At 42.3% G+C, this 26,106-nt stretch overlaps 2 pseudogenes, besides 2 other annotated features; both read left to right on the top strand.

Moving 5' to 3' along the window:
- On the top strand, positions 18,642-18,760 carry RNA5SP519 (RNA, 5S ribosomal pseudogene 519; annotated as a pseudogene).
- On the top strand, positions 21,107-21,225 carry RNA5SP518 (RNA, 5S ribosomal pseudogene 518; annotated as a pseudogene).
- Positions 24,373-24,969: an enhancer, noted in NCBI's record as "OCT4-NANOG hESC enhancer chrY:9924275-9924871 (GRCh37/hg19 assembly coordinates)". NCBI's record gives its function as "activates a minimal SCP1, AML or CMV promoter by ChIP-STARR-seq in primed H9 embryonic stem cells {active_cell/tissue: H9 hESC(primed)}" and the evidence as "EXISTENCE:reporter gene assay evidence [ECO:0000049][PMID:30033119]".
- Positions 24,970-25,566: an enhancer, noted in NCBI's record as "OCT4-NANOG hESC enhancer chrY:9923678-9924274 (GRCh37/hg19 assembly coordinates)". NCBI's record gives its function as "activates a minimal SCP1, AML or CMV promoter by ChIP-STARR-seq in primed H9 embryonic stem cells {active_cell/tissue: H9 hESC(primed)}" and the evidence as "EXISTENCE:reporter gene assay evidence [ECO:0000049][PMID:30033119]".

Raw genomic sequence — 26,106 nt, 5'->3', positions numbered from 1 at the left:
AAGAAATATAGAACTATGTGAAAAGACCAAATCTACGTCTGATTGGTGTATCTGAAAGTGATGGGGAGAATAGAACCAAGTTGAAACACACACTGTGTATATTATCGAGGAGAACTTCCCCAATCTAGGAACGCAGGCCAACATTCACATTCAGGAAATACAGAGAATGCCAGAAAGATACTCCTCGAGAAGAGAAACTCCAAGACACATAATTGTCAGATTCACCAAAGTTGAAATGTGGAAAAAATGTTAAGGGCAGCCAGAGAGAAATGTCAGATTACCCACAAAGGGAAGCCCTTCAGAGTAACAGCTGATCTCTTGGCAGAAACTCTACAAGCCAGAAGAGTGGGGGCCAATATTCAACATTCTCAAAGAAAAGAATTTTGAACCCAGAATGTCATATACAGCCAAACTAAACTTCGTAAGTGAAGGAGAAATAAAATCCTTTACAGACAAGCAAATGCTGAGAGATTTTGTCACCACCAGACCTGCCCTAAAATAGCTCCTGAAGGAAACACTAAAAGTGGAAAAGAACAACCTGTACCAGCCACTGCAAAAACACCAAATTGTAAAGACCATCAATGCTAGGAAGAAACTGCATCAACCAATGAACAAAATAACCAGCTAATATCATAATGACAGGATAAATTTCACACATAGCAATATCAACCTCAAATGTAAATGGGCTAAATGCTCCAATTAAAAGTCAAAGATTGTCAAATTGGATAAAGAGTCAGGAACAATCAGTGTGCTGTGTTCAGGAAACCTATCTCATGTGCAGAGACACACACAGGCTCAAAATAAAGGGATGGAGGAAGATCTACCAAGCAAATGGAAAACAAAGAAAGGCAGGGGTTGCAATCCTAGTCTCTGATAAAACAGATTTTAAACCAGTGAAGATCAAAAGAGACAATGAAGGCCATGACATAATGGTAAAAGGATCAATCCAACAAAAAGAGCTAATTATCCTAAATATATATGCACCCAATACAGGAGCACCCAGATTCATAAAGAAAGTACTTAGAGACCTACAAAGAGACTTAGACTCCCACACAATAATAATAGGGGGGTTTAACACCCACTGTCAATATTAGACAGATCAATGAGAAGGAAAGTTAACAAGGATATCCAGGAATTGAACTCAGCTCTGCACCAAGCGGACCTAATAGACATCTACAGAACTCTCCAGCCCAAATCAACAGAATATACATTCTTTTCAGCACCTCACTACACCTATTCCAAAGTCGACCACATAGTTGGAAGTAAAGCACTCTTCAGCAAATGTAAAAGAGCAGAAATTATAACAAACTGTCTCTCAGACCACAGTACAATCAAACTAGAACTCAGGATTAAGAAACTCACTCAAAACTGCTCGACTACATGGAAACTGAACAACCTGCTCCTGAATGACTACTGGGTATATAACGAAATGAAGGCAGAAATAAAGATGTTCTTTGAAACCAAAGAAAACAAAGACACAACATACAAGAATCTTTGGGACACATTCAAAGCAGTGTGTAGAGGGAAATTTATAGCACTAAATGCCCACAAGAGAAAGCAGGAAAGATCTAATACGGCACCCTAACATCACGATTAAGAGAACTAGAGAAGCAAGAGCAAACACATTCAGAAGCTCATAGAACGCAAGAAATAACTAAAATTAGAGAAGAACTGAAGGAAATAGAGATACAAATACCCCTTCAAAAAGTCAACGAATGCAGGAGCTGGTTTTTTGAATAGATCAACAAAATTGATAGACTGCTAGCAGACTCATAAAGAAAAAAACAGAGAAGTCTTAAACAGATGCAATAAAAAATGATAAAGGTGATATCACCACTGATCCCACAGGAATACAAACTACCACCAGTGAATACTATAGAAACCTTTATGCAAATAAACCAGAAAATCTAGAAGAAATGGATAAATTCCTGAACACATGCACCCTCCCAAGACTAAACAAGGAAGAAGTTGAATCTCTGAATAGACCAATAACGGGCTCTGAAATTAAGACAATAATCAATAGCTTACGAATCAAAAAAGCCTAGGACCAGATGGATTCACAGCCGAATTCTACCAGAGGTACAAGGAGGAGTTATTACCATTCCTTCTGAAACTATTCCAATCAATAGAAAAAGAGGGAATCCTCCCTAACTCACTTTATGAGGCCAGCATCATCCTGAGAGCAAAGCCGGGCAGAGACACAACACAAAAAGAGAATTTTAGACCAATATCCTTGATGAACATTGATGCAAAAATCCTCAACAAAATACTGGCAACCCGAATCCAGCAGCACATCAAAAAGCTTATCCACAATTATCAAGTGGGCTTCATCCCTGGGATGCAAACTGGTTCAACATAGGCAAATCAATAAATGTAATCCAGCATATAAACAGAACCAAAGACAAAAACCACGTGATTATCTCAATAGATGCAGAAAAGGCCTTTGACAAAATTCAACAACATTCATGCTAAAAACTCTCAATAAATTAGGTATTGATGGGACGTTTCTCAAAATAATAAGAGCTATCTATGACAAACCCACAGCCAGTGTCATACTGAATGGGCAAATACTGCAAGCATTCTCTTTGAAAACCGACAGAAGATAGGGATGCCCTCTCTCACCTCTCCTATTCAATATAGTGTTGGAAGTTCTGGCCAGGGCAATCAGGCAGGAGAAGGAAATAAAGGGTATTCAATTAGGAAAAGATGAAGTCGAATTGTCCCTGTTTGCAGATGACACGATTGTATATCTAGAAAGCCCCATTGTCTCAGCCCAAAATCTCCTTAAGCTGAATCGCAACTTCAGCCAAGGCTCAGGATACAAAATCAATGTAAAAAGTCAGAAGCATTCTTATACACCAATAACAGACAAACAGAGAGCCAAATCATGAGTGAATTCCCATTCACGATTGCTTCAGAGAGAATCAAATGCCTAGGAATCCAACTTACAAGGGATGTGAAGGACCTCTTCAGGGAGAGTTACAAACCACTGCTCAATGAAATAAAAGAGGATACAAACAAATGGAAGAACATTCCATGCTCATGGGTAGGAAGAATCAATATCGTGAAAATGGCCATACTGCCCAAGGTAATTTATAGATTCAATGCCATCCCCATCAAGCTACAAATGTCTTTCTTCACAGAATTGGAAAAAAGTACTTTAAAGTTCATATGTTTACTCTTTCTATTTGAGATTTTTGCACCCCATAATTACCATGTTATAATATTCAGTGTTTTTCCATGTGCTATTGCTAGTGAGTTCTGTACCTTCAGATGATTTCTTCTTGCTCACTTTTTTTCTTTTAGGTTAAGATATCCCTTTAGCATTTCTTGTAGGACAGGTCTGGTGTTAATGAAATCCCTGTTTTTTTTTTTTTTTTCTGTCGGGAAAAGTTCTTATTTTTCCGTCAAATTAAAGGACGTTTTTGTCAGATACATTATTCTAAAGTAAAAGTCTTTTTTTCTTTAGCTTTTTTAATACGTCATGCCAGTCTCCCAGCCTGTAAATTTTCCCCTGAAAAGTCTGCTGTCAGATGTATTGGAGTTCCACTGAATGTTATTTCTTTCTCTTCTCTCGATGCTTTTAGAATCATTTCTTAATCCTTAATCTTTGGGAGTTCAGTTACGTGACTTCAGGTGGCTTCTTTAGGTTAAATCTGCTTTATGTTCTGTAACTTTCTGTTACTCGAATATTGATATCAAATGTTGAGGAATTGTTTAATATTATTTATTTAAATAAATGTTCAACTCATCTCTTTTTCTACCTCCTCTTTAAGGCCAATAACTCTTAGATTTGCTATTTTGAGGCTATTTTTTAAATTCTACAGACGTGCTTTATTTTTTATTCTTTTTTGTCTCCTCTGACTTTGTATTTTTAAATAGTCTGACTTCAAGTTCACTAAATCTATCTTCTCCTTGTTCAATTCTTTTAAGTAATTCTGATCCATTCTTCAGTATGACAATAGCATTTTAACTTCAGAATTTCTGCTTTATTCTTTTTATTTCAATCTCATTGTTAAATTTATCTGATAGAATTTTGAATTCCTTCTCTGTGTTATATTGTACATTTCTTTGAATTACCTCAACCAGCTATTTTGGATTTCCTGTATGAAAAGTCACATATCTCTGTTTTTCCAGGATTTGTCCCTGATGCTTTATTTAGCTTGTTTGGTGAGGTCATGTTTTCCTGGATGGCCTTGATACTTGTAGATGTTCATCTGTATCTGGGCATTGAAGAGTTCAGTCTTTATTGTAGTTTTCACAGCCTGGGTTTGTTAGTGCCCATTATCTTTGGGAACACTTTCCAGGTATTCAAAGAAACTTGGGTCCCAAACCCAATAGCACGGTAGTTTATGCAAACACATAGAGGTACTGCCTTGGTAGCCTTGGATTAACATCAAGAAAAATTCTCTTGATTTATCAAGTAGAGACTCTTGTTCTCTTCCCTTACTGTCTCTCAAATCATCAGTCTCTCTTTCTGTGCTGAGACATGTGAAGCTGGGGCTGGGGTAACATAAGCACTCCTGTGGCCACCACCACTGAGACTGTGCTGGTTCACACCTGAAGTAGGCACAGAACTTGGTCTCATGCAAGGCCCACTGCAACCACTACTTGGCTACCATATAAGTTTATTCAAAGCCCTAGGACTCTGTGATTAATAGGTGGCAAAGCCAGCCAGGTTTGTGTCTCTGCCTATAGGGTGGCAATTTCACCTAGCCATGATTGGGTCCACAGATGCTACTTGGGAGCCAGAGATTAAAGCATAGAATCTTCAAAATTTACCTTCTCTTCTATTTTACTGTAGCAAACCTGGCACTTTGGGAATAAGACAAAGTATTTTCTACTCTTTCTTCCCCGGTCTGCAGGCAGAAGAGCCTCTTTTATGACTGCCAACACTACTGGCTCATGGGGGATTTCCACCAAATCATCATCACTTTCTCAATTAAAGCACAAGGACTCTTTAATTAGCTTGTGATAAATTCTGCAATGCCTGAGACTCAACCTTTGGCCCAGGGCAAGGGCAGAGATGTTGACCAAGAAGACCCTAGGCCTGGACTCAGGGACTCTAAGAATCTGCTTGGTGCTCTACCCCACTGTGGTTGAGCTGGCATATCATGTGCAATGCAGAGGTCCCTTTACTTTCCCCCCTGCTTTTCTCAAACAGAAGTCTTTCACCATAGCTACCACAGCTGGAAATGTACTGGGTCACACCTGAAGTTAGCGCTTCTCAGAGCCCAATGCCCATGGTGTATTACCTGGTTGTCACTGTTTTTTATTCTGGGTACAGGGGTTCTTTAGTCAGCAGGTGATGAATTCTGCCAGGTCTTTACTGACATGGCAGCACTGAGTTTAATGTAATGTCCTCCAGTCACTGTGCCCTCCCTCTCCCAAATTCACTGGTTTCTCTGTGTTGTGTGGCTGCTGCTAGGTGGGAGTGGAGGATTGGTGTTGTGAGCACTCCCTTAGCTCTGGCTGCTGTCTCAGTAGACCCCATTTTCCCCACCCTCCACATTCCACTGGCTCTGAGCCCAGCTCGGAATATGACTTGCCTAATAATTGAAGTCCTTGTGGCCTAGACTGCCCCTTAAGTTCTCCTAGAGTCCAATAGCACTTCAACTCATGATGGCAAGACTTGTAAAAACTCAAGCTCCCAACACTAGGATGGGAGGTTTTCCTCTTTCTAAGGCCAATACAAGTGCTCCCACCATTGGCAAATGTCAGCTGAGTACAGCCTGGTTCTGCTTTTCACTGTGAGGGGGTAGTACTGAATTTTTTGCAAAGCCTCACGAACTATGCTCTCCCTCTCCCAAACATAGTATCTCGGCACCATGTAGTCACTACTGGTGGTTGAAAAAGAGGTAGCATCCGTGCTTCTAGACTGTCTCTTATTTGTTTGTCTTCTCCAATGTCTGTTTCAGTGATTTGAAGTTAATACCAGGTACTGGGATTGCTCACCCAATTTTTGGTCCCTTTGACATTGATTCGTGAATGTAGTGAGTTGTGAAAATTTGGTGTTTTTGTGTGGTGGATGGGAATGTAGGCCTCTATTCTGCCCTCTTATTCTGTCTCTGCCTTAAATTTTTTAGATTCAGGGAGTATATTTGCAGGTTTGTTACATGGATATATTGTGTGATGCTGAGCAATGTGGGATATTACTGATCCCATCACCTACGCAGTAAGCATAACACTCATAGTTTCTCACCCCCTGCCCTCCTCCTTCCCTTCTTCATCTAGCAGTTTTCAGTGTCTATTGTTGGTGTCTTTGTATTCATGAGTACCCCATGTTTAGATCCTACTTATAGGCAAGAACATGTGGTATTTGGTTTTCTGTTCCTGTATTAATTTCCCTAGGATAATGGCCTCCAGAAGTATGCATGTTGCTGCACAGGACACAATTGTATTCTTTTTAATGTGTGCATAGAATTTTATGGTGTATATGTGACACATATTTCTAACCAATTTATTGATTCACAGATAAGTTAATTCCATGCCTTCCCTATTGTGAATAGCAAAATGATGCATATACAAGTGGATGTGGGGTTTCTTTTTGTAGAATTTTAAATTTTCTTTTGGATATATACTCAGTAATGGAATTGCTGGTTGAATGGTACTTCTGTTTTAAATTCTTTGAAAAATCTCCAGACTGCTTTTCACAGTGGCTGAACTAATTTACATTCTCACCAACAGTGTATAAACATTTCATTTTCCCTGAAGTCTAAACAGAATGTCTTTTTTTTACTTTTTAATAGTAGCCATTCTGACTAATATCAGATGGTATCTCACATTGATTTGCATTTCTCTGATGATTAGTGATGTTGAACATTAAGAAAACAACCCCATTAAAACATTGACAAGGGACATAAGGAGACATTTCTCAAAAGAAGACGAGCCAGGCACAGTGGCTCACGCCCATAATCCCAGCAATTTGGGAGGCTGGGGTGGGCGGATCACAAGGTCAGGAGATCGAGACCATGCTGGCTAACACGGTGAAACCCTGTATCTACAAAAAATACAAAAAAATTAGCCGGGTGTGGCGGCGGGCGCCTGTAGTCCCAGCTATTCCGGAGGCAGAGGCAGGAGAATGGCATGAACCTGGGAGGCAGAGCTTGCAGTGAGCCAAGATCGCACCACTGCACTCCAGCCTGCATGACAGAGTGAGACTCCGTCTCAACAAAAAAAAAAAAAAAAAAAAAAAAAAAATACAGAAGTGGTATTCTTATTCTATCACAATAAGCTGCATTTCCTTTGCAAATATAAGATCAAACCATTTGAAAAATCACTTTAATTGAAGGGATTGACAGTATGTTTCCCCTTCTCTATCTCTTTTCCTCTTTTGTGATTTTTTTTCTGATCACTATGAATCCACTCAGCAGAGTAATCTCCATTCTTAATCTGTGTGAATTGTGGTGATGAGTTAGTCACCTCTCTTAAAATCACTAACCAAAAAGTTTTAAATTTCCTAGTTAGTAATACATTTTTAGCATGTCAGAAGATACTCTTAGAACAAAGACTTCTGGTCCAGGCACTATGGATTATGATGATTAGTTCTCTGGATTTCTATAAGCTTTGAAATTAAGAGGTAAAAATCTAAAATAAATTGGGCTTCATACTATTTATACATTTATTGGGTTTGTTAATTATTCCATAGGAAAACGGATGAAAGACTTTTGTAGAATTCAATTCTTCTTCACCATATTTAGGGTTAAAAGAAGGGAATTATATTGATGTAATTGACAGACTGAATTAACCTCAGTCATCACATGTTATTTTTCTAGAGTTTGTTTAATGGTGCTGACATTCTCTTCAATATATCCGTGCTTAGCTTGGGTTTCTGGGGGAGAGATGAGTAGCTAAGACTGCCCATCTAATGCATAATTTTCATTAGTTGGAATAATGGTGTGATATGATAGCCTTCAAGATGATGCCCTCAATTTCTTTCCTCCTTACATGCACATGCTGCTCTTTACATTGACAGAGTCAAATCTCCCATTTCTTGAATCTGTGCTGGTCACACTGACTTGCTTTATCAATAGGATGGAGCAGAAGTTGTATTCTAGGACCTCCAAGGCTAGGTCCTAAGAAGCTTTGTAGTATTTGCCTGTGTGTCTTGGGACCAACTACCACGTTGTGAGCACTCCAGATAACATAGAGAGGTCAGATAGGCATCACACTCAGCAGCCAATATGCACTGCCAGCCATATGAGTGACCTGTCTAGGCTCTTTAGCCTAGTTGAGCTTTCAGGTGAGTTCAGCAGCAGCCAACCAACTGCAACCGCAAGAAAGACTCCAAAAGAGAACTTTTGTAGTGCCCATCAACCCACAAAACCACGAGAAACAGCATTATTTAAAATCACTAAACAAATAATAACAAGAAACAATTAAACAATAAATAATTCCTTAAGTTTTGGAATGGCTTACTATTGAGCAAGAGATAGCTAGAACAAGTACTAAATATTGCACAATACTGAATAAGTGTAAGTTTAGTTGTATAATATACTTCTACATTTTAAAGCCATTGACATTTCTGGAAAGAGTGCAAAAGTGAGCACTGATTAAATGGTTCCCAAGAGAAGTTGTCTGTTGTATTTCAACATCATCATTTGCCAATGGGAGCTGTATTTTGTTTTGAGAAAATATATATTTTTATGTTCATTTTTAAAAATATACTAACAATTTTTTAGAAAGGCATATGCTATTTTGAAAAAAATTTGAGCAAACCAGAGAAGTGTAAACTTTAAGGCTCTAATCATATTTGTATGCTATTTAACCCATAAATCCAAAGTCTGATGACAAAGTCTGATGTTTATCTAATACTGATATTTGGATAAATAAGTTAAGCTAACAATTTTCCTTTTAAATGATAGGCCTTATAACTAGTATGATGTTATGATGTCTGCCGTGGATGGGCTCAAACCATAATAATATTTTCTCTTTAATACTTATTTAGAACATTAAGTGAGAACCAGAGAGTCTAAAACTGGGTTACACAGCAGTAATAAAATCAGAGTGACACTTACTTTGCAGCAGCAGGACTGGAATTCTTGCTGTTGGGGTTGGTGGCAGCAAGCTCAATTATAGGTGTCTCCTGCTTCATGCTTGGATGGTGTGTTGGAACATTTCCTGTTTAGAACTTTCTAACACTTCCTGACTAGAGCTGTTTAAAATAGAAACAGACCCCTCTGATTTTGAATGTAGCCTATTTATTATTATAATTTGTTCATATGTTTCTACTTTTTAGATTGTGGCTTTCTTGTAGACAGAAATTGTATCTTATACCTCCTTTACTTCAGCAGCCGTGTGCTTGGCACCAAGTTGAATTGTCAGGTTCGTTGAATAAGGAAAGTAAAATTATACTAGAATTAAACCATTAAATTCATCAATTTTACTCAGAAAATATATAGCTAAGTATGACGTATGAATCAATTCAGTCACTGATTCAACAAACATTTTTTAAGTGACTACAGTATGCTATGAGCTAGGAATATGGCAGTAAACAAATCTCACCTTGTCTTAAACTTCAGTGGATCCAGAAGTCTCTAGAAGTTTAATTCTTGCTCAATCAGCAATTCCTTTTCACTGAAGACTTGACAAAAAGGTTTGAGAAGGCAAGAGTGTGTGAACTCAACAGATGTTTGTGATGCACCTACTGTGTGCCAGAAGCTGTAGTGTCACAGGGTCTGCCTGTGTCTCCTAGGAAAGGTGAAAACTAAGGAAAATATTTTAAACAACAAATAATGCCAAGTATGCATTGTGATGGAGAGGGAAAGCGCTGGATCCCAAGAGTATAACAGGCACTGAGCCTAGCATAGGGTCCAGGCATCTCTGGCATGGTGCCCTCCTAGGTCGTGGTTGTCCTTCCTTGTTGTTCCTGCTGTCTGCTTCAGTTACATCTGCTTCTCTGCATTTCTTCATTTTACAGTGTGTGGGATGCAGTCATCTCTGAACAGGAATAGGCAACTGTCCACCTGTTATGCCATGCTTGACGCTCTGCATTGATGTACACTGGGCCCAAGTTTCCCTGGTGGACTGCTTGGGCCATTCTTGTCATCTGGCTCTGAAGTCTTTGTTCACAGAGGTGCACTTGCCAGATGGGGAAGCCAGAGATCTTGGGTCTTCTGATGAGGCCACTCTCACCCTGCTTATCTTCCCTGACATAGATAACAGATGAAGCTCAGGTGGGCGATGCACCTCAGGCCACAGTGTGGACTGTTGTAACCAAGCGAGTTATAGAGGAACGCCACACTTTGAGACAAATTAAGGAATCCTTTATTAGCCAGCGACGGAGAGGCAGCTAACGCTGAAAATTCTCTTGGCCCCGAGGAAGGGGCTGATTTTGTTTTTATTCCGTGGTCTAAATAGGGGAGGGGGGAGTTTAACTGAAACAATTTTTACTGAAGCAGAGCTGGCAAATAGTTAAAAAATTAATTGGTTACAAAAGCAGTTACACAACAAAGAAACAGTTCCAGGTGCAGGGACTTAAACTATCACAAAGAGAGAAATGCAGGGGTTTTGGGTGACATTCACCAAGCACGTCCCTAGGAGCTGCTGGTGCAGCTTGCCTCAATATCTTATCAGTATGTGCATTCCTGGATGTGCTTTGAGTCAGTTTACACTAGTTATGCCCTTAAGGGAGGGAGGTAAAGGGGGTTGCACGTGAAGAAACTAAAATAGAGTCTGTCTGGCTCTCTCTCTGCTAGGGGAGAGTCACTCAGGTTAAAACAAGGTAAGGTATCATAGAACCATGTACAATTCTTCAAACTCCAGCTTCAACTCTCTTTCTTATTGCTCTCTTAGGACAGAATATTTAGATCAGAATAAATGAAAGTAATGTTATTAGGAGATAAGATTAAAATTGATCCCATCTGTAAAAAGGGAAGTAGATTATTTGTGAACTGTAATACTTTTTCTTAGTGAAGAATCACCTTAAAACTTGGAACCTCGATACAAGATAATTCCTTCATTCTGCAAAAGTTTAGTAGCAAACTATATACCAAGACTGTGCTAGGTACTAGGGATACATGGTTGAATACATGGTATAAGATGCCATGGAGAGTCAGATAGTTTCATATAAATGGCTCATGCAGTATAGAGACAGTGTGGTAAAAAGAGGCTACTGAGATGCACAGAGGACAGACAATAAAGCATCTTTGAATGGTAGATAAATGTGTTTGGACTTTTCACTCAGGGCTGTTGAAGTTTTTGAAGGTCAGTGGTCTCAGAGTTTTGGTGTTTTCAAGCCCTGCTAAGTTCTTTGTTTCTAGCTGATGATTGGCCACCATTACTGATCATCCATTGGCTCTGTCTGATTCAGCAATCCCACCACTGAGTATTTATGCAAAGGAAAAGAAATCAATCTATCAGAAAGATAACTATACTTGTGTATTTGTTGCAATACTATTCACAGTAGCACAGATATAAAATCAACCTAAATGTCCATCAACAAATGATTGGAGAAAGAAAATGTAGAAAATATACACAATGAAATACTACTCAGGCATAAAAAACAATAGAATCATAACTTTTTTGCAGACACATGGATGAAACTGGAGGCCATTTTTGTAAGTGAGGCAAGCCAGACACAGAGTAAACATCATATTTTATCACTCATTAGCAGGTGCTAAAAGATGTGTAGATATTGATGTAGAGAGTGGAATAATGGAGACTCAGGAGGGTGAGGGGATGGAAGGGGTGAACAGTGAGAAATTACTTAATGGGTACAATGTGCATTATTCTGGTGATGGATACCTAAAAGCCCTGAGTTCACCACTATGCCATCCATGCTTACAGCAAAATTGCACTTGGAACCCATACATTTATACACAAACAGTCTTAGAACTCTCTCTCTTCTCTCATAAGACTCAGAGCTCAATGATCCCCTTGGATCTCCTCAGACTGCTGAGTTTTGATTTTCCTACCTAAGGTGATTTTGGGCAGAGACAAGGGAGTGTTTCAGGAAGATATTCGCAGGCACACGCTTCTAAAGAATCATTGGAGGCTCTTCAAGGGGCCTTTATCTAGTCACTGCTTTAAGCAAGGAATAAAACATCTGTGGCTAAAATTTGTAAAACTTTGTTTCCCATCCACATTCAGACCTGAGAGAAGAGATTTTAGGATTTTAAGGGAACAGCTTTTTCCTGACCCAAAAGTGCATAGTAGTGCAAAGGCCAATGTCACATAAGTACCTTTTCCCCATCTGTAAAATAACTTGCAGATACTATTCCCACAGCTGGAATCAGTACAATGTTTTGACTGAGGTATTGGAAACACCTATGAGCTCATTATCATTTGAACATATGAGTAAAATTTAGGCAGAATTTTATTTGAAATGATTATTTATGCAATTTTTAATTGACTGATTTATTTTGTGGTTATTTCAAACAATAAAAATCAGTTAATTGTGTTGTAAGAAATATTTACAATAACACTTGGTCTTGATTATCTCACATGATGAATTGAAGATTAAAGCAAAATAATTTATCTTAGGGAATTCTGTGACAGTTTCTCTTTCACTTTGCTTTAATAATGACTTCAAACTGTCGTACATATATAGAGAACTCCTGACTAAAGAGAATTGTTTTGACTATTGTGCTATGTTTTTGTAACTCTTTAAGATCTAGAGGAACATACATTTAGTCTCAGTTGGCCAACTAAATGTTATGGAGTCAGCTTCTGTGTTATGTGCTGAGCATTGAAGGATCGGTGGAAACAAGGCTGCTGCTCTCACAGAGTCTGCAGAGAAAACCTGATGGAGTGTGTCAGGGAACATGCTGGGAGCATCCCAGGATGCCAAAAGCACACACAGATGGAACACCTGCCTTAGAACAGGGGAGGGTCAGACAAGGAGAAGTGTCAGGAAAAACAAGGAAAGTTTAAAATGCAGGAATAGAAACACACTTGAGAAATCCATGGGGAATGAAAAGAGAATGGCTGAGCAGCAGCAGATCGTGAAAAAGGAAATCAAGAAGGAGCAGCCAAAGAGGTTGATGGAGAACCAGGAGAAAGAAGGTGACACTGATGCCAAGGGAAGGAAAATGTTTCAACAATTCTGGAAAAAATGACATGCTCTGTCTTAACCTTGCTGTTTTATGAGTCATATAGCCGCATTCCAGGTTCTGAGAAGTCCAGAACTAAAGATGTTTCTTTTAGTTAGCTTAACCCAGAATTTGCCAGAATAATCTGGGCTCAGTGTGAATGTGTGTGCATGTGTGTACCTGTGTGTTCTACTAATAACTCACTGAGGCTAGTGCTGTATACAACATAATTTTTAAAACACTGGTTTTATCCATCTTTTTGTTCAGCTGCAGCAACACTTACAAAGGTCAACTTTGATCATGTCTCTTTGTTACTAAAGGAAACAAAACCAACTAATGAATAAAGCCCACCTGGCAGTGGCTCCTCACTACCTGTATGATGGAGCCCACCTGGCTTCGCCCTGTGCTGACCTGGCTGTGCTGTCTTCTGCCTGCTGCTTTGCCTCCCCTTTCCTCCTGGAGAAGGTAGAGATGCTCTGAGCTTTGGCCCATCTGGAGCATGTGTCCTTTCCCTCATGTGTCCCATGTTTTCCTGAGTCCACTTTAATCTCGTTTAAGGGTATAGAACTTTTCTTAAAGCTTTTGGTCAGGTCTTACTCTCTATGCTGTCTTTCTGCCACTTCTACACTGTACATACTTTACTGATACATTAATTATGCTATACCAGCCCAGGTTTTTACTTCTATATCTTTTTATATCATCATATTTTTTCTTAGAGCTTAGTTCACTTATTTATTCAGTCTTTCCACAATGTAATTGTGTCATATAATTTCATATTCATTTTCATTGGTGTTTATATATCTTTTCTGTAAAAATGGAGGCTTTCTAAATAGATCTTCATTAATGTTGAAAGAACAAGGTTTTAAGTCTTGGTCTTAGCTAAAAGGAGTTCCCCACATTACCAGGAGGGAAAGAAACACTTGCATTGTTGCATTAGATATTCTTACAGAGAAAGAACCATGTGTAACGGAAAATTGCTAACTTTGCCTCAGGAAGAACAGGTTGATTCACTGAGAAAGTTTCAATTGGTTTAGAAGGCATAGTTCTGAGTTTTCTAGAAGGACAAAAGTTAGAGTGGGGCATAAGAAGTAATGCCCATATCAAAAAATTAGAAATATCTCAAATTAACAACCTAACACCACAACTGAAAGAATTAGAGAAACAAGAAGAACTCAACCACAAAGCTTATAGAAGACAAGAAATAACTAAAACCAGAGCTGAATTGAAAGAAATTGAGACATGAAAAACTGTTCAAGAGATCACTTAATCAAGGTTTTTTGAAAAAATTAATAAGATAGATAGGGCACTAGCTAGACTAATAAAGAAGAAAAGAGAGAAGATTCAAATAAACAAAATTAGAAATGATGAAGGGAATGTTACCACTGACCCCAGGGAAATAAAAATAACAACCAGCAACTACTACGAGCACCTCTATACACACAAACTAGAAACCCTAGAAGAGATTAATAAATTCCTGGACACATATACTCCTCAAGACTGAACCAGGAAGAAATTCAGTCTCTGAATAGACCAATTATGAGCTCCAAAAATTGAATCTGTAATAAATAGCCTACCAACCCCCCGAAAAAGCCCAGGACCTGGTAGATTAACAAATTTTAACAGATGTACAAAGGAGAGCCAGAACCAGTCCTACTGATACTATTTCAAGAAATAGAGGAGGAGGGGGTCTTCCCCAACTTGTTCTATGAGGCCAGAATCATCCTGATACCAAAGCCTGGCAGTGACACAACAAAAAAAGAAAACTTCAGGCCAGTATCCTTCCTGAATATCCATTCAATAACCCACAACAAAATACTTGCAAACTGAATCTAGCAACATATCAAAAGGCTAATTCACCATAGTGAAGTAAGCTTCTTCCCTGGAATGGAAGGTTGGTCCACCATGAGCAAATCAATAAAATGTGATTCATAACATAAATAAAACTAAAGATAAGAACCACGTGATTGTCTCAACGGATGCAGAAAAAGCTTTCAGTAAAATTCAACAAAACTTCATGTTAAAAATTCTCAATAAATGAGGTATCAAAGGAACATATCTCAAAATAATAAAGGCCACCTATGACAAACTCACAGCCAACATTATACTAAATGGGCAAAATGTGGAAGCATCCTCCTTGAAACCCGCACAAGACAAGGATGCCCTCTCTCACCACTGCTATTCAACATAGTATTAGAAGTCCTTTCTGGAGCAATCAGACAAGAGAAAGAAATAAAGGGTATCTAAATAGAAAGAGAAGTCCAACTACCTCTGTTTGCAGACAACATAATTCTCCATCTAAACCCTATAGTTGTGACCCAAAAACTCCTTAAGCTGATAAACAACTTTCACAAAGTTTCAGGACACAAAATCAATATACAAAACTTGCTAGCATTCCTATACACCAAGAAGAGCCAAGCTAAGAACCAAATCAGAGAGGCAATTTTATTCACAAATTCCATGAAAAGAATAAAGTACATACGAATACAGCTAACAAGGGTGGTGAAAAATCTCTACAATGAAAATTACAAAACACTGCTCAGAGAAGTCAGAGAAGACACAAATAAATGAAAAATCATTCCATGTTAATGCAGAGAAAGAATTAATATCATTTAAATGGTGTACTGCCCAAAGCTATTCCTATTAAACTACCAATGACATGCTTCACAGAAGTAGAAAAAAGCTATTTAAAAATTCATATAGAACCAAGAAAGAACCTAAGTAGCCAAGGCAATCCTAAGCAAAAAGAACAAAGCTTGAGGCATCATATTACCTGACTTCAAAATATACTACAGCACTATAGTAACCAAAACAGCATGGTAGTAGTACAAAAACAGACACATACACCAGAGGAACAGAATAGAGAGGTTGGAGGTAAGACCACATACCTACAACTATCTAAGCTTTGACAAAGCTGGCAAAAACAAGCAAAGGGGAAAAGATTCCCTATTCAATAAATGGTGCTGGGATAACTGGCTAGCCATATGCTGATTGAAGTTGGACTTCTTCCTTATACCATACACCAAAATCAACTCAAGATGGATTAAATACTTAAATGTAAAACCCAAAACTATAAAAGCCCTGGAAGACAACCTAGACAATACCATCCTGGACATAGAAAGAGACAAAGATTTCATGATAAAGACACCAAAAACAACAAATACAACTATTGACAAGTGGGATCTAATTAAACTTAAAAGCTTGTGCTCAGCAAAAGAAATTATCAATAGAGTGAACAGACAACCTATAGAATGAGGAAAAAATATTTACAAACTATGTATCTGACAAAGATCTAATATTCAATATAAGGAATTTAAATTTACGAGAGAAAAACAAAAAACCCTATTAAAAAGTGGCCAAAGCCCTGACTTCTGAATGGCACTTCTGGACCCAGCCAGGGACTGAGGGATCTCACTGCCCTAAAGGAAAGAACACAGGCTTGGCTGGCTTTGCCACCTGATAATTGTAGAGACCAAAGGCCTTGAGTGAACATAGTCAGTTGTCAGAGAGTGCACGCAGCAGGATTTGAGCAAGACCCATGCTGTGCTAGCTTTAGGTCTGATCCAGGGCAGTCATAGTGGTGGTGGCCACGGGTGCTTGTGTCTTTCTTCTCCCAGCTTTAGGTGGCTTAGAACAGAGAGAAATACTCTGTATCTTTGAGAGAAAATAAGGGTAGGGAAAAAGAGTCTCTGGCTAGTAATCCAGAAAATTATCCTGGATCTTGTTGAAGGCTGTCAAGGTGGTGCTTCTCTGAGTCTGGAAGAAGTACAGCATTATTCGGTATAAGGTGCCCCATAAAGCAGATATGGCTTAGATCACAACACCCAACTCTTTTCAAATATGTGAAAAACCTTCCCATGAAAGACAGCTACAAATAAACCCGACATTGAAGACTACAATAAATACTCACCTTTTCTCTCTTTAAATTTTATTTTTTAAACCTCTCATATGGTGCTGCATGCCCAAGATTTTAATGTCCTGACACTGAAGAACATCTACTAGCATCAACACCATCCAGGAAAACATGACCTCACCAAGTGAACTAAATAAGGCACTGTGGACAAATCCTGGAGAAAAAGTGATATGTGACGTTTCAGACAGAGAATTCAAAATAGCTGTATTTTTTTAAAAAAAAAACTGAAAGAAATTTAAGATAACAAAGTAAAGAAATTCCAAATTTTATCAGCTAAACTCAACAAAGAGATTGAAATAGTTACAGCAAATTAAGCAGAAATTCTGAGCTGAAAAATGCAATTGGCATGTTGAAGAATGCATTAGAGCCATGTAATAGCAGAATGGATCAAGCAGAAGAAATAGTGAGCTTGAAGACGGCTCTTTGAAAATACATAGAAGAGACAAAAGAGAAAGAATAAAAACAACAAGTCATGCCAACAGGATCCAGAATATAGCCTCACAAAGACAGATCTAAGAGTTATTTGTTTTAAAGAAGATGTAGGGAAAGAGGCAGGGGAGGATCTAGAAAAGAGCCTCACAAAGACAGATCTAAGAGTTATTGGCTTTAAAGAAGATGTAGAGAAAGAGGCAGGGGTAGAAAAATTTATTCAGAGGGATAATCACAGAGAACTTTCCAAACCTAGAGAAAGATAACAATATCCAACTACAAAAATGTTATAGAACATTAAGCAGATTTAACCCAAAAAAGACTACTTCAAAGCATTCAATAGATCTTCCAAAAGTCAAAGATAAAGAAAAGTTCTAAAGGAAGAAAGAGAAAAGAAACAAATGACATACTGGGGAGCTCCAACACGTCTGGCAGCAGACTTTACGGTGGAAACTCTACTGGTCAGGAGAGAGAAGCAATAAATATTTAAAGTACTAAAGGAAAAAAAAACTTTTACCTTAGAATAGAATATACAGTGAAAATATTCTTCAAATAAAAAGAAGAAATACTAACTTTTTCAGACAAACAAAAGCTGAAGTATTTTATGAATACCACACCTGTCCTAAAGGAATGCTAAAGGAAGTACTTCAATCAGGAAGAAAAGAACATTAACGAGCAATAAATGATCACCTAAAGATAAAAAAAAAAATCCTCACTGCTAATAGGATACACAACAAAACAGAATATTATAACACTATAGCTGTGTGGTGTGCAAACTACTCTTATTCAAAGTCGGAATACTAAATAATATCCAAAAGTAATAACTACAACATTTCAAGACACAGCACAATAAAATATAAACAGAAACAACAAAAAGTTAAGTTAAGGGATGAGCGCGACCCGTCCTGAGCCGGCAGATGTGGTGGAAGCTCCGGAGCTGGGGAGCTGGAGGAAGAACTGGAGCGTGGGCGGAAAGGAGGCCGCCCCGAGAGCCGGAATCCTGGGCAGGGGACTGAGGCCTCTGGCGCCCGCCAGCAACAGCACGGCGGCGCCACGTTGGTCCTGCGCCAGGTCTGGCCGCCGGTGACGGCGGGACTCGCCAGGAGGCCGGCGGTACTCGGGTGTAGAGGGAGACAGCTGCCCTGGGGCAGAGGCGAGCGGCTCTGGGGGTCCCGGATCCGAGACCCGCTGCCCCGGGATGGCGGTGACGCCTGGAGTCGTTCGGGCATGGCTGGGACGGGCTCTTGGGGCAGCCAGGCGCCGCTGCTAGCGTCTAGGCCACACCACCCTGAACGCACCCGCTTGCCTCTGATCTGTTGAAGCTAAGCAGAGTCGGGCCTGGTTAGTACTTGGATGGGATTCCGCCTGGTAATAGCAGGTACCTTGGGCTTTTGGCTTCCCGCTCCCTCCCTCTTTCCCCCTCTAGTCTCAGTGCTTCACAACCCCGCCCCCGCCCTGCCTCTGCTCCCCCTTGACAGCCCACGCGTCCCAGCTGAAGCCCGGGACCTCCTCCTGAAGATCCGCGACTGCAGCACAGCCGGGCAGCAGCATCCCACCTCTTCCGACTCGCAGCAGCCCACCAGGAGCCTGGCTACAACCCGGGCGGGACGGGACCGACCCCGAGGGCGCAGGCGCGCGTTCCTGAGGTCGCAGGTGTCTTCAGGCTTCCTGGACTCCCAGGAAATTCTATTCATTCATCTAGCGCCGCTGCAATCGTCCAAGCCGGGGGAAGGGGCGGGCAGGGGCAGCGGGTCCCACAGACCCCAGCCAAGACCTCCGCTCCAGAACCCGTGGGCTGCTTTCCCCAGGGGAAGGACATTGTCTTCGCCAGCCACGAGGAAATCCGTGTCTGTGCACCTGGTTTCCCAAGGCCACCGACTTCGTGTAAACTCCAGTCCTGAGGACAGGAGAGAGACCCAGGCCTCACTGCGTGGACATGCTTGGCGCCACGGCTCCAGCCAGAGGGATGAGCACACTCTACAAATCTCGGGGCCCACTGCACCAAGGAGATAGAAAGAAACAAACAAAGGAAGAACCCTATGAAACGCTCCCCTGAAGCAACCAACCAATCCAAGGAAAAAAGAAAACACGTCTCAGGGCTCCTTTGGTTTTCCCACGTGGGGGGCCCTGACCCCCTGTTCTAGCCCAGCCCAAGCACCTTCCACCCCACCCCGGCCTGCTCAAAGGTGCTCTGTCTACCTGAGTAGAGACTCCCTTTCCATGACTCTGTCCCTCTCCCTCTACAACTCCCTCACCCTCTCCCTTTCTCTACTTCCCCCTCCACCTGGCGCTCTACTGTCGGGCTCTCTTTCCCTCCCCCTCTCTCTCCTCCCCCCTTCTCTGTCTCTGTATCGCTGTCTCTCTCGCTCTCCCTCTGGTTCTATTTCTCCATTCCTGTCTCCCTTGCTCTCCTGTAGCAGGAGGAGCCGCAGACAAAACCCTTCAGACACCGAGTTGTAGAAGGAAGGGCTTTATTCAGCTGGGAGCATCGGCACTCTCACATCTCCAAAAACCGAGCTCTCTGAGTGAGCAATTCCTGTCCCTCTTAAGAGCTTACAACTCTAAGGGGGTCCGCGTGAGAAGGTCCTGATGGATTGAGGAAGCAGAGGGTATGTGACTGGTGGCTGCATGCACCGGTAATTATATCAGAACAAAACAGGACAGGGATTTTCACAGTGCTTTTCTATACGATGTCTGTAATCTATAGATAACATAACAGAGTAGGTCAGGGGTCGATCTTTAACTACCAGGCCCAGGGTGTGGCGCAGGGCTGTCTGGCTGTGGATTTCATTTCTGCCTTTTAGATTTTACTTCTTCTTTCTTTGGAGGCAGAAATTGGGCATAAGACAATATGAGGGGTAGTCTCCTCCCTTACTTCAAGCTATCTGTGTCTGTGTCTTTGTGTGTCCGTGTGTGTGTGCCCAGGTGTGGTGTGTGTGTCCGTGTGTGTCTGTGCACGTGCACCTGTGTGTATCTCTGTGTGTGTGTGTTGGGGTGGGTTTGCTCGTGGTGGTGGTGGGGTGTGTCTTGGTGACTGTCAGCTCCTCTTTCTAGGGATCAGGCTGCTGGGGCTCTAGTGCCAGCACGGGGAAAAGCAGAGCCTTCCCTCCCCATTGGCCAAGGTCAGGTCCTCGTCGGGACAAGCGATAATGGTGTGGGCGTTGTGGGATAAAGGGCCCGTGGGGCTGGGCCGGCTGTTAGCCCCTGGGCAGCACTGGCAGCTCTGGGTGTGTGGGGTAAGAGGGGGCCTTGCAGGAGGGGAGGAGAGGGATCCAAAACAATTTTTCTGCTGCAAGGAGGAGGACCGGAGGGGATCCCAGGACCATGGGCCCTTGGCCCTGATGCCTCAGAGCACGTGCAGTCCTGAGCCAGCCCGATGTGTTGGAAGCTCTGGAGCTCCCCTGGAGCATCTGCAAAAAGGGAGGCCACCTGGTGTGCCTGGAACCTGGGCAGGGGACTGAGGCCTCTGGCTCTCCCGTGCAGCAGCAGGGCAGCACCATGGCGGTCCTGCACGTGGTCTGGCCGCAGGCGAGGTAGGTGGCTCTGGGAGGCCGGCAGAAGGCGCAGCACGGTGGCCAGTGGTGCTGGGGCCTTGATGGGGAGAGCAGCCCGGCTGCGAGCGAGCAGCTCTGGGGCCCTGGATCTGAGCCCCTTGGCCCCGAGGTGGCGGTGATGCCTGGAGTGGAGCAGACATGACTGAGCTGGGCTCCTGTGGCAGCCAGGTGCCACTGTGGGCCTTTATGGCCATACCACCCTGAACACATGGGATCTTGACTGATCTTGGAAGCTAAGCAGAGTCGGGCCTGCTTAGTACTTGGATGCGAGACCCCCTGTGAATACTGAGTGCTGTAGGCTTTTGGCTCCCCGCTCCCTCTTTCCCCCTTTTGTCGCCATGCTTCCCAACCACCCCCTGACTCTACTTCCACTTTTCCGTGCTCCACAACGCATAGGCTGCTTTCCACGGGGGAGGGACATTGCCTTCATCAGCCACCAGGAAAACCATCCCTGTGCACTTGGATTTCCACTGCCACTAACTTCGTGTGAAATCCATTCTCGAGGACACAAGAGAGACCCAGGTCTTGTGCACTGTGAGCATGCTCGGCATTATGGCTCCCGAAAGATGGACAGGCACACTCTGAAAATCTCAGAGCCTACCGCATCAAGAAGACAGATAGGAGCAAACAAAGGAAGGACCCTACCGAACACATCCCCAAAGTAACCAACCAACCCAAGAATAAACGTCTCAGGGCTCAGTTGGTCCTCTCCCTTGGACGGCCCTGCCCCCCTGTTTGGCCCAGCCCAAGCACCCTCCACCCTACCCTGGCCTGCTCAAAGGGGCCCTGTATATCTGGGGAAGAGCCTCCCTCTCCAAGGCTCAATCGCTCTTGCTCTCTGGCTCCCTCACCCTCTTTTCTTCCCCCTCCACCTCTCGCTCTTCTGTCACCTTCTCTCCCTGTCTCTCCACCCTCTCTGTCTCTATCTCTCCCTTTGTTTCTATCTCTCCATCCCTCTCTTCAAGCTGTCTGTGTCTTTGTCTGTGTGTGTGTCCATGTGTGTCCGTGTGCGTGTGTGCCTGCGTGCATGCACCCCTGTGTATCTGTTTGTGTGTGAGAGGATGTGTTTGCTCCTGGTGGTGGTGGGGTGTTTCTGGGTGTCTGTCAGCCCCTCTTTCCTGGGATCAAGCTGCCGGGGCTCTAATGCCAGTGCGGGGCAAAGTAGGGCCTTCCTGCTCTGTTGGCCATGGGCCAGGTCTTCCTTGGGACAAGCGACGATGGAGTGGGCATTGTGAGAAAAAGGGCCCGCAGGGCTGGGCCAGCTGTTCGACTCGGGCAGCCCTGGTGGTTCTGGGTGTGTGAGACAAGAGGGGGCCTTGCAGGAGGGGCAGTGAGGGATCCAAAACAATTTTTCCACTGCAAGGCAGAGGGCCAGAGGGGAACCCAGGACCCTGGGCCCTGGGCCCTAATGCCTTGGAGCACATCTTGTCCTGAGTGGGCCCCAGGTATTGGAAGCTCAGGAGCTCAAGAGCCAGGGGAAGGCCTGGACTGTCAGTGAGAGGGTGGCCGCCTGGGGAGTCCAGAGCCCTGGCAGGGGATGGAGGCCTCTGGCACCTCTGCGGTCCCACATGTGGTCTAGCCACCGGCGACAGGGGGACACTGTGGGAGGTCGGCAGAAAGTGCAGCGCGGTGCCTAGTGGTGCTTGGGCGTAGAGGGGGAGAGCAGCCCGGCCACAGGCAAGCAGCTCTGGGGTGCCTGATCCCAGCCTCACAGCCCAGAGTTGATGGTGATGCCTGGAATCAGGTGGACATAGCTGGACCGTGCTTTTGGGCCAGCCACATGCCACTGCCATTGTCTATGGCCATACCACCCAGAAAGTGAGAGAGACCCAAGCTGCGGCCCATGGGCAGGCTCGAAGCCACTGCTTCCACCACAGGGCCGGTGCACTCCATAATTTTCAGGGCCCACAGCACCAAGAGGACAGGGAGGAGCCAACAAAGGAATGACGCTACAAAACGCACCCCCAAAGCAACTAACCAATCCAAGTAAAAAGACGTCTCAGGGCTCCATTGGTTTTCCTGCATGGGTGGCCCTGTCCCCCTGTTCTAGCCCGGCCCAGGCACCCTCCACCCTACCCTCGCCAAAGGGGCCCCTATCTACCAGAGCAGAGTCTCCCTCTCCAAGTCTGTTGCTCTCCCACTCTAGCTCCTTCACCCTCTCCATTTCTCTACTTCCCACTCCAGCTTGCTTGCTCTCTGTCTCTCTCAATTTCCCCAATTCCTCTCTGTCTCTCTCTCTATCACTGTTTCTCACTCTCCTTCCTTTTCTATCTCTCCATCCCTCTGTCCCTTGTTCACCTTCAAGCTGTCTGTGTCTTTGTGTGTCTGTGTGTGTGCTTGTGTTCCCACGCTTGTGCCCGTGTGTGTCTGTGTGTTTGGGAGTGGGTTTGCTAGTGACTGTGGTGGGGTGTGTCTGGATAACCATCAGTACCATTGTCCCAGGATCAGGCTGCCAAATCTTAGTGAGCACGTGGGTGTCACAGTTGCCGTAATAGTCTCATACAGGTAGGTGTGTGGATCCTGTTTATTTTCATGTAGACAAGGAGAGTGAAACTACAGAGAAAAGAAACGTCCCATGCATCACATCTTGATGAAGAATTCCTGTTTCCTGCAAAATGGGGAGTCTCCAATATAGCCTGTTTGAAAACTGGAAAGGAGAGCACCAACAAGATGCTGGTCTTCCACGCATTACTGGAAGTTTCTGGGGCATGACAGAGCTCAGGAAACAGTCAACACAGTCACTCTTTCAGGGGTGCAGAGACTTCTCAGCCCACTGTCTGGCACTCCCTAGTGAGATGAACCCAGTACATCACAGGGAAATGCAGAAATCAACCCTCTTCTGCATCGCTCATGCTGGGAGCTGTACACTGGAGCTGTTCCTATTCAGCCATCATCCTGAGAAACTTCTTTGTGATGTGTGCATTCATCTCACAGAGTTGAAACTTTCTTTTGATTGAGCAGTTTTGCAACACTGTTTTTGTAGAATCTGCAAGAGGATATTAGGAGCATTTTGAGGCCTATTGTGGAAAAGGAAATATCTTCACATAAAAACTATATAGAAGCATTCTGAGAAACTTCTTTGTGATGTGTGCATTCAACTCACAGAGTTGAACCTATCTTTTGATTGAGCAGTTTTGATACTCTCTTTTTGTAGAATATGGAAGTGGGTATTTGGAGCCCTTTGAGGCCTATGGAGGAAAAGGCAATGACTTCACATAAAAACTACACAGAAGGATTCTGAGAAACTTCTTTGTGATGAATAAATTCATCACACAGAGTGGTAACTTTCTTTTGATTGAGCAGTTTTGAAACACTCTTTTTGTATAATCTTCAAGTGGATATTTGGAGCACTTTGAGGCCTGTTGTGGAAAAGGAAATACTTTCACATAAAAACTACACAGAAGCATTCTGAGAAACTTCTTTGTGATGTGTGTATTTATCTCACAGATTTGAAATTTTCTTTTGATTGAGGCTTTTTGAAACACTCATTTTGTACAATCTGCAAGTGGGTATTTGGAGCCCTTTGAGGCCTATTGTGGAAAAGGGAATATCTTCACTTAAAAACTACACAGAAGGATTTTGAGAAACTACTTGGTGATGAATAAATTGATCACACAGAGTTGAACCTTTCTGTTGATTGAGCAGTTTTGAAACACTCTTTTTGTAGAATCTACAAGTGGATATTTGGAGCGCTTTGAGGCCTATTGTGGAAAAGGAAATATTTTCACATAAAAACTACACAGAACCATTCTGAGAAACTTCTCTGTGATGTGTGCATTCATCTCACAGTGTTGAAACTTTCATTTGATTGAGCAGTTTGGAAACACTCTTTTTATAGAATCTGCAAGTGGATATTTGGAGCACACTGAGGCCTATTGTGGAAAAGGAAATATCTTCACATAAAAACTGCACAGAAGCATTCTGAGAAACTTCTTTGTGATGTGTGCATTCATCTCACAGGGTTGAACCTATCTTATGACTGAGCAGTTTTGAAACACCCTTTTGGTAGACTCTGCAAGTGGTTATATGGAGTGCTTAGAGGCCTACTGTGGAAAAGCAAATATCTTCACATAAAACTACACAGAAGCATTCTGAGAAACTTCTTTGTGATGTGTGTATTTATCTCAGAGATTTGAAACTTTCTTTTGATTGAGACCTTTTGAAACACTCTTTTTGTACAATCTGCAAGTGGATATTTGGAGCCCTTTGAGACCTATTGTGGAAAAGGAAATATCTTCACAAAAAAACTACACAGAAGCATTCTGAGAAACTACTTGGTGATGAATAAATTCATCACACAGGGTCAAACCTTTCTTTTGATTGAGCAGTTTTGAAACACTCTTTTTGTAGAATCTGCAAGTGGATATTTGGAGTGCTTTGAGACCTATTGTGGAAAAGGAAATATTTTCACATAAAAACTACACAGAACCATTCTGAGAAACTTCTCTGTGATGTGTGCATTCATCTCACAGTGTTGAAACTGTCATTTGATTGAGCAGTTTGGAAACACTCTTTTTGTAGAATCTGCAAGTTGATATTTGGAGCCCGTTGAGACCTATGGTGGAAAGCGAAATATCTTCACATAAAAACTATACAAAAGCATTCTGAGCAGCTTCTTTGTGATGTGTGCATTCATCTCACAGAGTTGAACCTTGCTTTTGATTGAACCATTTTGAAACACTCTTTTTGTAGGATCTTCAAGTGGATATTTGGAGCGCTTTCAGGCTTCTTGTGGAAAAGGAAATGTCTTCACATAAAAACTACACAGAAGCATTGTGAGACACTTCTTTGTAATGTGTGCATTCAAGTCACAGAGTTGAACTTATCTTTTGATTGAGGAGTTTTGAAACACTCTTTTTATATAATCAGCAAGTGGATATTTGGAGCACACTGAGGCCTATTGTGGAAAAGGAAATATCTTCACATAAAACTACACAGAAGCATTATGACAAACTTCTTTGTGATCAGTGCATTCATATCACAGATTTGAACCTTTCCTCTAATTGAGCAGTTTTGAAAAACTCTTTTTGTAGAATCTGCAATTGGATATGTGGAGAACTTTGAGGCCTATGGTTGAAAAGGAAATATCTGCCCATAAAAATTACATGGAAGCATTATGAGAAACTTCATTGTGATGCATGCATTCATGTCACAGAGATGAAACTTTCTTTTGATTGAGCAG

The sequence above is a fragment of the Homo sapiens genome, chromosome Y (genome assembly GCF_000001405.40).
Source record: "Homo sapiens chromosome Y, GRCh38.p14 Primary Assembly".
In the NCBI taxonomy this organism is placed as follows: Eukaryota; Metazoa; Chordata; class Mammalia; order Primates; family Hominidae; genus Homo; species Homo sapiens.
Note: the sequence above shows the minus strand (reverse complement) of the source record. Positions and strands in the feature narration are given on the sequence as shown.